General features: G+C 46.9%; 2 annotated features.

Annotated features, from left to right (window-relative positions):
- Positions 10,555–11,325: an enhancer, noted in NCBI's record as "H3K27ac-H3K4me1 hESC enhancer chrX:17805441-17806211 (GRCh37/hg19 assembly coordinates)". NCBI's record gives its function as "activates a minimal SCP1, AML or CMV promoter by ChIP-STARR-seq in primed H9 embryonic stem cells {active_cell/tissue: H9 hESC(primed)}" and the evidence as "EXISTENCE:reporter gene assay evidence [ECO:0000049][PMID:30033119]".
- Positions 11,326–12,096: an enhancer, noted in NCBI's record as "NANOG-H3K27ac-H3K4me1 hESC enhancer chrX:17804670-17805440 (GRCh37/hg19 assembly coordinates)". NCBI's record gives its function as "activates a minimal SCP1, AML or CMV promoter by ChIP-STARR-seq in primed H9 embryonic stem cells {active_cell/tissue: H9 hESC(primed)}" and the evidence as "EXISTENCE:reporter gene assay evidence [ECO:0000049][PMID:30033119]".

The following is a 12,302-nucleotide window of genomic DNA, read 5'->3' as shown; positions in this document are numbered from 1 at the left end:
AAGTCTTCTGGTTTCAAATGGAACACAAAGGGGCCTGGGCACCAGCGGTTCCCATTCGTCAGCTGTCGTTTCTCCCCATGCTTACGGTTATTTCCTCCTGCCACTGCAGTGCTGGGTGGCCTTCCTACACCAGCTGATGGGGCCTGTGTCTTTGCAATATGCTGGGAAGAGCTGCTGAGTCTCTGGCTTTCAGGGCACAAAATTCACCATTTGCCCTTTAGAAGCAAGTGCTTAAAGCCGAGTGACATACAAGAGAAAAGGAAGGCAATGGTAGCCTGTAATTACCTTATAAACCTCAAGCCACATGTTTCTCTTTGTTGTATCTGGGAAGCCCTTTTCCTGTTCTTTTCCTGTGTTGTTAAAATTTCTCTTTCAAAATGTGACCAAATAGCTGTTTCTTGTCAGGCTGACTAGTCCCAGTCTATAGCATCAGCCAGACGCCATCCTTTCAGCTTCTACAAATGGCAAACTTTGTCCCCTCAAAGCCAGAGACTCAGCAGCTCTTTCCAGCATATTATAAAGACACGGGCCCCATCAGCTGGTGCAGGAAGGCTGCCCACCCAACTTGAGACGGCAGCACTGGCTGGGTGAGAAAGGCTGGCTACACAGCTGACCCTGGGTGTTGAGCCAGTGTGGAACAACTCCCATCCCTGGGATAAATTCCTGGGGCAGGCCTCCCCACCCGCCCCAGCCAAACCCATTTATGATCCTTCCCATTCAACACTGGGAGCCTTTGGGGATGAGGCTATTGTTATGGGGACTGGCTGTGGCATTGGGAGGCTTGCCCATTGAGCTCTGTGGAGGCTGCACACCGAGTGTTGTGTTGGGATCACGGTTGTGCCACTGGGGCAGCAACACCCTCTGCCTGCCCCTCATCCAGGCGTTTGATGGAAACTGGGATCCAGTCAGCTTGGCTATAAGCCGGCCAGGAATTAAGAGAAGGGAAAGCACCCATTGTTGTGGCCCCAGTGAGCCTAGGGTTCCCTGGTGGTTCAACTCCATGCCCCTTCTCCCGTCGGGAGTATGCAGCCTTTCACACAAACCTTTGAGTAAGAGCCATTAGCCCAGAATCATGGTTCCTGGACAGAGATGTGTGATCCCCACAGGGCTCACAAAGAGGGCCACCAGCACACTCTCAGGCCCTGTGGTTTTTCTGCTTGATTCGGCCAGCTGTGATCACTCTTATCTCCCACCCCTCACAACTATGTCCAGTTCACCTACTCTCAGGTCTCAGCCATACAGGATTTCCAGCAGAGTTTTCCTCAAGACTTGATTTGTCATCTCTTTCAAAAACGCTTTGGGCCAACCAGCATAAAGATCAGCCTTTTAGGAAATAGGATTAGTCACCAGGAATGTTCAAATTTGCTCAGACTTGTCAAGATGGCTTCAGCTGGCTTCAGTTCAGAAATTATAAGAAATTGGAGCAAGTTGTGAAGATCTGTGTTTGTGGGTAGTGAGCATCCTGGCAGAGGAAAAACGAATAGCTCTAAAGAGGGGGAAAAAAAAGAAAGATTTAAAGAAGGAACAGGTACTGTCCTAACCACGGAAGTCCTTGACAGTGAGTAGAATATTCTGAAGTGAGGTCAAAGGTTTGTTTAGATTGAAAGGCAAAAGTCTCACACTTTTAGCATGAAAAAATAGGCCTACAACGGTAAAAACTCCAAACAAAAAGAGAGAAGGAAGGAAGGAGAGAGACAGGGAGAGAGGGAGAAGCCAATCACTGAGAGAATATGTCAATATACTCATTATCTTCATAAGGAGCATAATTAATACAACAGGACAGGAAAGGATTTAGATTCATTTTACAAGTGAGGAAATTGAGGCTCAGAAGAGCTTTCTGCTTTCAGGTTTTAAGCATCAACAACTCAAAAATATGTACTTTGTCATAGTCTTAAATATTGGGTCTGAAGCCCAATGAACCCACAGGAATTTAGACTCTTTAGGGGCAAAAGCCAGGATGAATTAGCAGAGAGTCTGAATTACGGATTTTTCTTCAATTATTTTCAAGACCATTCCAGTTAGCTGGAATGCCCAGAGCACTTGGCACAATGGTGAGGAGGTGATTTCAAGCTGAAGGGTGGGGAAGCCAAGGCCTCTAAAAGCCACACTCAAAAGCTGCTAAGCTGACAACTTTAACAGCAGGGAAAAAAGTGTAAGAGGTCATTTTAGCAGACTTTACTCCTCATTAAATAAAAAAGGCAGTTTTCCACAACTCACTACCACCAGGTCAAATAACTCACCTCCCACATCAGCAAGACAAAATAGGATATAGTTGAGGTCCTTAGGGTGCTATTTTAACAAACTGATCATTTAATTTAATTAACCCATATTGGGTGACACTATCGTAAGTAGTATATATAAGTGCTTGAAAGAAGTAGTTCCAAAATATTGCAAATAATCCACCTGCAACTGTTATTAGACCAAGGGATTTCTAAGTAAAGTGACATTTTAGTTATGCCCTGCTGAGGTTAGAAACAAGTCCAAGTTGAACGTGATGAACTGTTGAGGTTTACTATTATTAATTCCACTTGTAGGTTATTTTCCATCCAAATGTATTCTCTGTATACACTCAGATAAAACTGTAGGCACCCGCTGGGCACAGTGGCTCATATCTGTAATCCCAGCACTTTGGGAGGCCAAGGTGAGAGGATCACTTGAGCCCAGGAGTTCCAGACCAGCCTGGGCAACATTGCAAAACCTCGTCCCTACAAAGAAATATACACACACACACACACACACACACACACACACACACACACACACAAAATTAGCCAGGCATGGTGGCACCTATAGTCCCAGCTACTCAGGAGACTGAGGTAGGAGGATCACTTGAGCTGGGAAGTCCAGGCTGGAGTAAGATGGCACCACTGCACTCCAGCCTGGGCAACAGAGCAAGATGGCCCTGCCAAAAAAAAAAAAAAATGAAAAACACCTGTAGGTTCACTCTGCTAAAAAAGATGATAAAGGCCACTAGGAAACAGTCCTCCCCCTGCTTAATAATGTTTTAAATCTAAAGTTTGGTAAGCCAGGCAATTAGGATGTAATAAACACTTATTGCATCATAGCTCCATGTGATCAGTCCAGAATGGTATTGGGAAGGTGGTTTTTCCCAATTTATGGTCTCTTCAAGTAAGGAACTTGAAGATTATTTTTTTCAATGCAGAAATTGTTATTAGGACTCATTTCAAATCACATTTAGAAACACCGCAATGAACAGGGGCTGAATTCTTTGACAGCAGGGACTGAATCTTATTTCTTTATCTCAAGGTTTGTCAATCTTGGCACTATTGACATTTGAGGCTAGATGATTGATTCTCTTTGTGGGGGGCGAGGACTGTCCTATGCATCGTAGGATATTCAGCAACATCCTTGACCTCTTCCTGCAAGATAACAAAAATGTCTGCAGCCATTGCCAAGTGTTCCCTGAGTGGTAGCATCATCTTTGATCCAGAACCACTGCTTTATCTCTAGGGCCTGACACCTGGCCCACAGCAGGGGCTCAAAAATTCCTTGATGAATGAATGCAATCAAGAAACAATCAGGAAGAGGAATCTGTAGCTGTAGCTGTGGTTTCTGATGCCTCACTCACATTTTCTGATTTACTACCATGAGGCTGATCTGATCAGGAAACTTACTTGGTACCATTGTTCACCCATCCATAGGACTGTCATTCATTCGACATGCTATGGGCACTTTAGAAGCTTCTCTCCAGTAAACAGGGATCAGCAAGACTACCCCCATCTCACAGAAAAGGTAGGCACTCTGCCAGTCCTGACAGGTTCCTCATTATTTTACAAACACAAAACTGGAAGGACTTATTCATTATTCAAATCTCACTCCAAAAATTGGTCTTATTTTCAAGGACAGCATAACCGTCCCCCCCACCAAGAAATTTACAAACATTGCCAGGAAGTTTTTTTTTTTCCTCTCATGTTTTACCTAAACCCTTTTTGCTGTAAGTGAGCCCAGTGTTTTGTTTGTCTTTAATGGAAACAAAAGTCAAACCTCCTTCTTTTAGTAGTTCCCAATTTAAGCACTAGACCTTTTTGCAGCCTCCTATCCTCAAGACTCAAGGATCCTGTCTCTTCTCACTTTCTCCCATTTCCTATCTTATAAACTTTTGTCATCTTGGTTGCTCTTTCCCCAATTTCTTCATCTACTTTGTAGAATCAAGAACTCCAGGTAGGTGATGAAAAGGTTCTAAAATTGATTGTGGCAATGGTTGTACAACTCTGTGAATATACTTTTAAAAGTTTGAACTGTACACTTTAAAATGGGTAAATTGTTATGTGAATTATATCTCAATAAAGTTACCTTTTAAGAAATAACAAAAGAATCCCAGATAGAAATTGGGAACTGACTATGGGTTCCAGCAAATCCTCCTAAAACTGAATAGTTACTGCCCATCTTTGATAGTTATATCTCTGTTACTATGTCCCCATTTTCCATTGCCCCCCCCATCTTTGATTGATTATATGCCCATTAATACCTCCTCATTTCCCAGGTTTTCTTGGCTGTCACAACTTTGCTTGGAATGTAATCCTCCATGGCTCATTTCTTGGAATCTGGAATCCCCTCCCCTAAGTGGTTTCCCCTGAACAGACCTTCCCAGGCCCTCAGTTTGGTCCTTGCTATTTCTCTGTCAGGGTTCAAACTCTGTTAGGCCATAGGCTTCTTAACTTAAACAAACTCTCTTGAAGCAGACTAGGGTGTAAAAAGAAAAATCACAAAACAACAGCCACTCTGGTCTGGAGTCCCACCTGTCTGGTGCCTCACCCTGTAGGGCCTTGAAGCACTGCAGCTTTATGCCATCTCCCCCTCCCTCCCCCAGCACCTCCCTGTCAGGGCTCTGGACAGCAGGGCAATGTGCCTTCCACTATTTTGCTTTACATCTTATCCAGGAACAAAGAGGACACTTAGGGAACATGTGATCTAATGACCTGTAGGCTCAGAATGAGGAGACCAGACTCCTGACCATCCTTCCCTTCCACTGAAGGGAGATCGAGGCCCAGAGTAACAGTCAAGCATTCAAGCACTGTCCCCACAAAACAAAGACTTGGTCTCTGGTTACAGGATGTCAGCAGGTGTCAGTCCCCAAGGTGGCCATCATAGCAATGGAGACCATTGGAATGACAAGTGCGCTCAGGAATTCAGTCTTCAGGGTGGCAGGACCAGCATACAGAGTTAATCATTTTTTGTTAACAACTGATGGTTTTTTAATGAGGCTTTGTGATTTCAGGCACAGATGGAAAGCAGCTAACAAGGTCTTGCCTGGTAGAAGTCCTTGGGGAAATCGTGTTAACACACTGATAACATTATTGGTAAAGAGGATCTCAACTATTGTGAGTGAATGGGTGCTCCTAAGGTACTTGAGCGTGGAGGAGAATAGCCTGTTTTCTTTGTGTGTCTGGGGAATACCACTCAACAGGCAGTGTGAGAGCCAGATAATGGAAGGCCAATTCTTCAAGCTCTGAATCCTTTTATTGGAAGTGTTTTCAATGGGAAACTTTTCAAAATGCATTAAGCATCTTGGCAAAGGAAACCTTTCCTTGACTGGGTCATTGTTATGAGCAGGGGCAACTGGCCAGGGCTGAGATGACACGATGCCCTCCAGGCTGTCCAGGGAAGGGGCTGTTTGTCTCTAGCTGGTATTGACTCTCCTGTCCCCAGTGCCAACTCCACATGAGTGCCTTCCTTCTTTGCCTTTTTATTGGTTTGTTTTTAAAATCTCTTCCAATCCTGTCCCTTCTCAGCTTCCATGACAACAAGGCATGATTTGATCACCATCACTGGCCCACTGGCTCTCATCCAGAAACTGACCCATGAAATTGTCCCCTGGTCCCTGGCAAGTGCCTCTTCCTTCCCCACTCTGCAAGGCCCAACCCCAGTGTCTCCGGTAGGGAGACCATCCCCAGCTCCTCTCCTCCCCATGCTTCCCTGAGACTCCCTGCAGGGGAGGAACAGGCTAGGAAAGCCTCTCCCATTTTATTGAGCCAGTCTTTGTCCCTTGGGTGGGAAGCTCCCTGAGAGCAGGCACAGCTTTTGGTCCATAGCGCATAGTATCTGGCAAAGCCTCAATAGTTGCTTATTGAATTGAAACCTGGAGCACCTTCTCTGCTTTCATATATATCATTTCTTGGCCATATTGGCTCCATCCCAAGCTTGGCCACTGTCAGGCCTTTCTGGTTTGGCCCTATTTTGGATCCTAGTCAAAGGTGACTTGTACAAGCACCAGATGAATGGAACACCATGATTTAGACATTTGGGGTATGGTCCTGTGTCCTATTTATTTACTCTTTAGACCCTTCCTTTGTTTTGACCATCAAGGTTAAAATCCAGCAGAGCCCATTTGAGCAACCACAAATTTTCAAATAATTAAAATTTTAATTTATGTTTTACTGGTTTCCCTTTCTTCCTCTCTCCCTCCTACCCTCCTTTCTTCCCTCTTTCTTCCCTTTTTCTCTTTTCTTTTTTAAAAAACTCCCCAAAGTGCTGCTTCTGCTTAATTTTATAAATGGCAAGAACTCCCCAGGGAGCCCTGGTTGTTTCCCAGGCCTCATCTCCCTGACCTCTGGGAGGTACAGGTGTGAAGGCATGGAGGTATGAGGCACTTTCATCCCCCTCCTCCTCCTTAGCTTTCCTGGCAAACCTCTCTCCCCATGCTCTGGTCTCTCTGATTGTCTCTTCATTTTGACCTCTGCAGATAACGATGCTGATGCTCCACTTCTTCCCTCTCTTTCAGGCCTAAGTTCTCATTCCCTGTGCTTTCCTAGGATGACATTCTCATAGTTGTCTCCAACATTTTTATTTTGTTTATTTATCTCTATCTTCAGCTCTGACTTCTCTTTCCCCCTCTCTCTCTCCTTCTTTCCTTCTCTCCCTCCCTTCCTCTCTCTCTTTCTCTCTGCCTCTTTCTCTTTCTCTCCCCCTCACCAACCCGCCATATTAATAGGCTGGTGTCTCATATTCATCATCCTAGAACTAGACAGCATCGCCCATCCTCAACCCCTCCTCAGATCCAATGTACACCCTCTGCATCTGCTGCTGCCTGCTTCCTGGTTCTCCAAGCAAGAAATGTGGAGCTGTTCTTCATGACTTCTCCCTCACTTTCACCTCCCAGATACCTGTCTTCCTGACTTTGACTCCCCAGTCTTCCTCAAATCCATCATTCCTTTCCTCCATACTACTGTTCTTGAGCCTGCCCACATCATCCTCTGCCTAGATTCTTACAGTGGTGTCAGAACGGGATGGGCACCATGCACCCATCTTTAGCTTGCCTGATTCTCTCCTCTATACTGCCACCGGGATTGTTTTGGTAATAGGCAAGCTTCACCATGTCGTTCTGCTGCATAAAAGCCTGTGGTGTTGGATACCTCCCCGCACCCTGTGGCCTCACATGTCAGCAGGCCTCCTGAGGTCACGGCCAGCCCAGCACTGTGGCTAGAACTCCCTGCTTCACCCTATGTGTAAGCTCCAGGGATACAGGAAGGTTAGCAGTTCCCAGCCCTGCCTGTGAGGTTCCACCCCTGAGTGCCCTCCTCTTGACACTCCTTCCCCACCTTCTTGGGTTTTTTTTGTTTGTTTTTTGTTTGGAGACGGGGTCTCTCTTTGTTGCCCAGACTGGTCTCGAACTTCTGGCCCCAAGTGATCCTCCCACCTCACGCTCCCAAAGAGCTGGGATTATAGGCACCAACCACTGCACTTGACCTTCGCCATCTTCTTACTCTGACTAATCCTTCAGGATTCAGCTCAAAACAACACCTCCTCCAGAAAGCTTTCCATGACTGCTCTGGCATAAGCTAAGAGCCCCTCTTGCCCTCCCATAGCAACATATGCACACATCTGTATATCAACTCATCCATCTCATTCAATTGAAAGTATGACTCTGTCTATCCCACTGTGTCACACACTCCTCTAGGGCCAAGGTCATTGTCATTGTATCTCATACACCTAACACAGTGCTTGACATGTAGGGGACCCTCAATAAATGTGTGTGGACTGCACTGAACCTATGTGGAAAGTGCAAGTGTGCCCTTCTTAGCCAAACCAGTACAATATATGGAAACCCAAACATACGAAACAAATATCTGGAATCTATAATTGACTTTGCAAAAGAAGATGAACTACTTGATTCCTTTAAACCGTATGGCTTACTATGTTTTCAAAACAAGATGGATTCTTCAAAAGTGGTTTCTACACTCTTATAAAAATATACATAAAACATAAAGCAAGCAATAGTCAACATCTCATCACTGGCATACAAAGAAAATGCTTGAGCATTCACCTCCCCAGAGTTTGTGGATTTCTTTATAAATGACATGCATGGACTACCAAACAAATATGTACATTATAAAATAAGTGCAAAAATAGAAATGTTGGACAAAAATGAAACAAACATAAATAGGTTCAATATTTTCTTTCTACGCCCCAATTCATTATCTTATGTATCCCACCGGGTCATAATGAAATGAGACTATTATACATCTTTCAACTGGCTGAACACAACCTTTAAATTCTCTTAGAGATCCATGCATTCTTCTTTCTTGAAATATGAGAAATAACCAAGCACAAGAGGTTTCTGCATCAGAAGTAGAATGAGTGCCTGTCACTACACCTAAGCAGGGGGATGGCTGGAGACCCTGAGTAAAAGTTAAGAGTGCCAGTGTTAGAGCCACAAAGTCTGGATTGAATTCCCAGCTTTGCTCCTTTCTAGCTGTATGACTTTGGGCAGGTCACTTAACTTCTCTGCTTCCATTTTCTCAACTGTGAAATGGAAATAATAAAATATCTTCAAGTATCTGGGTTTGTGCACTGGGGTACCAAGGACAGGGTACTCAATAAATGAGCACACAGTAAGCATGAGCAAGGGATATAAATGATATAAATAATGATAAATAAATGTATTTGTATTATATCTTGTTTACAGATAATAATAGGGAGCAAGGTCACCACAATTCTAGATTTTAAAAAGACTTTAATTCCAGTAAGCAGAGTTTTAGATTTCACTTTGTTCCATGAAAGTGGGTTTCCAGCCAGGCACTTTCATGCCTGCTTCCAGACTACTGACCAATATTTGAACTAATGTAAATGTCATTTTGATTTCCTTCCCATTGGCCTGAGAAAAGGGTTGATCGCTTGGCTATCAGCAAGAAAATGAACTCGTTAGAATAGGAGAAAAAGTGACACAGGCTGGGAGAAAGAAGCCTGAAGGCAAAATTGGGCCTGGAATCAAAGTGGCATGTGTTCTTAGACCTCACCCTGCTTTGGATTCCTCATCAGTAAAACCGCACAACTCAGCTGCCTTTCTCATGGGGATTGATGAGCTAACGCAAGCGCCCAGGGCCCATGAGTAGGAGGTGCACACGGGCCAGGGTTCCCTTCCTTGCTTGCAGCAAATAGACGCTAGATGAGGATGGGACTTTCAGGTGTCCCCACCCAGGGACAGTCCCTTATCCAGAGGCCACCGTCCAATCACAGGGCCCATGGAAAGCCATGCCCTGGGGGCAGCTCTGTAGTGACACCAAGAGGCTATGCAGCCTTAGAAGTCTGCAACCTGGTGAGCAGGGGGGTTGAGGCTTCCTCAAAAGTAAATTATACAGCTGAACCCCCTTTATCAAACTCTTCTTACAAGAATGTGATGCCTTAGAGTGGATGAATTGTTATTTGAATTAGAAATCTAAAGTTTGCTTTACAAGAGATAACATCAGTTTCTGTTTTGAATGAGGGAGGTTTCTTGAGTGCACTTGAGACACGATCTAGCATGTGGGCAACTTCCGAAGAACACATCTGCTATATAAATTGGGGGCAAGTGTATTTGAAATAACTACAGAAAAGGGTTTGTGAGGTGAGCATAGAAAAGGAATCTCTTGCTCATGCCATTTATGAGCTGCTGACCTCTCCACCACGGGAAGAGGATTTTTTTTGCAGCAAAGGAATTCAAAAAGTCAGAACAGCCCTGCTTCTCCACCCACCTACTGGGAAGAAACCACCCTCTTACCCACTTCATCTGCGCTGGGATACAGCGCCCTCTGCTGGCAGATCACAGCAACAACCTCAGGAATCTTCCAGAGTGGTCCTGGCACGGGCACCTACCTAGCATACACCCCTCCTCTGTGAGCCTCTTGAGACACCCCTGGGGAGGGCCCAGACTGAAAATCCTGAAGGGTCCAGATTTTCAGAAAAGAACCACCTCACCCTTCATTAATGGGAAACCGTGTCCCAGCAAAGCCAGGGAGAGAGAAGATCGCTGGCCTGGGACTTGGTAGCCTTGGGGACAAGCTAAAATGAAAGCTGGGGACACAGCACACTGCAGGGTGCAGAGCTGAAGCAGTGACCTCGACATTTCTGGGGACGATAGGAACAGAGCAGGGGAATGTTGGGGATCTTGGAATGCGACTCAGGGGAGCTGGGGGACGGAAGCGGTGGTGGGAGCACAGGCCTAGCCTGGCAGCCACTACCCTTGAGCAAGCAGGGAGGGTGGGCCAGGGGCGCTCCCACGACACAGCCAGTATTGGTCACTCTGCCAGACACTGGGTTCCCTACCCCGGCTGCACCCCAGGATCACCAAAGGAACTGTCAGGACGCCTGATGCCCAGCCTGAGCCCAGAGATGTCCATGCTCCTGGTGGTTACCTACAAAAGGGTGGCCTTGGTAGAGTAAAATTTGCCTGAGAACTTCAGCCTGTCTCCCAGGCTGAGTCTAGCACTGAGACCCCGGGAGGAGGTCCGGGAAGTGGGGCCTCAAGTGTGCCCCAGGAGTGGTAGAAGGCAGCAGCACCTCCACCTGGAGGAAGCCTCCTAGTGAGGCACGACCTGGGCTGTAGTCTCCTCCGACACCGTCGGCCCACTCTGATCTCTGCGAGGCGCACGACTCCGGGCCCAGCTCTCACTCACCTCTCTCCTGGTGGTGAAGCAAATGCCATGTAGCATCATGATGGATGTCCTCCTCCCACACCTGCATTTGGGTGAGGGGACCAGTACACACCATCCCACCCTTTCAGGGCCCCAGGAAGGTGGGCCCTGGTGCCCACTCTGCCCTCCTGCCCAGCCCAGTTCAACAGCAAGTCTGCAGCCTCGAGTCCAGATTGCAGAGGGCCAGGTTCTGGTGACCCTTCTGGATTCCGTATCTTGATGTTTCAATGCCGAGAAAGGAAACAGGAAAGGCACCCTTCGAATGCTCTGGTCAAAGGTTCCACTGAGACCACTGCAGAAAGCTCAGCTTCTCAGACCTCAGGCAAGCTTGAAAGTACTTTCCTCTGGGAGGAGCCAAGATGGCCGAATAGGAACAGCTCCAGTCTACAGCTCCCAGCGTGAGCGATGCAGAAGACGGGTGATTTCTGCATTTCCATCTGAGGTACCGGGTTCATCTCACTAGGGAGTGCCAGACAGTGGACACAGGTCAGTGGGTGCACGCGCACTGTGCGCGAGCCAAAGCAGGGCGAGGCATTGCCTCACTCGGGAAGCGCAAGGGGTCAGGGAGTTCCCTTTCCTAGTCAAAGAAAGGAGTAACAGACGGCACCTGGAAAATCGGGTCACTCCCACCTGAATACTGCGCTTTTCCGACGGCCTTAAAAAACGGCCCACCACGAGACTATATCCCACACCTGGCTCGGAGGGTCCTACGCCCACGGAGTCTCGCTGATTGCTAGCACAGCAGTCTGAGATCAAACTGCAAGGCGGCAGCGAGGCTGGGGGAGGGGCGCCCGCCATTGCCCAGGCTTGCTTAGGTAAACAAAGCAGCCGGGAAGCTCCAACTGGGTGGAGCCCACCACAGCTCAAGGAGGCCTGCCTGCCTCTGTAGGCTCCACCTCTGGGGGCAGGGCACAGACAAACAAAAAGACAGCAGTAACCTCTGCAGACTTAAGTGTCCCTGTCTGACAGTTTGAAGAGAGCAGTGGTTCTCCCAGCACGCAGCTGGAGATCTGAGAACGGGCAGACTGCCTCCTCAAGTGGGTCCCTGACCCCCGAGCAGCCTAACTGGGAGGCACCCCCCAGCAGGGGCACACTGACACCTCACACGGCAGGTTACTCCAACAGACCTGCAGCTGAGGGTCCTGTCTGTTAGAAGGAAAACTAACAAACAGAAAGGACATCCACACCAAAAACCTATCTGTACATCACCATCATCAAAGACCAAAAGTAGATAAAACCACAAAGATGGGGAAAAAACAGAGCAGAAAAACTGGAAACTCTAAAAAGCAGAGAGCCTCTCCTCCTCCAAAGGAACGCAGTTCCTCACCAGCAACGGAACAAAGCTGGATGGAGAATGACTTTGACGAGCTGAGAGAAGACTTCAGACGATCA

This window comes from Homo sapiens, chromosome X (assembly GCF_000001405.40).
Source record: "Homo sapiens chromosome X, GRCh38.p14 Primary Assembly".
Taxonomy (NCBI): domain Eukaryota; kingdom Metazoa; phylum Chordata; class Mammalia; order Primates; family Hominidae; genus Homo; species Homo sapiens.
This window is presented reverse-complemented; position numbering and strand designations above follow the sequence as displayed.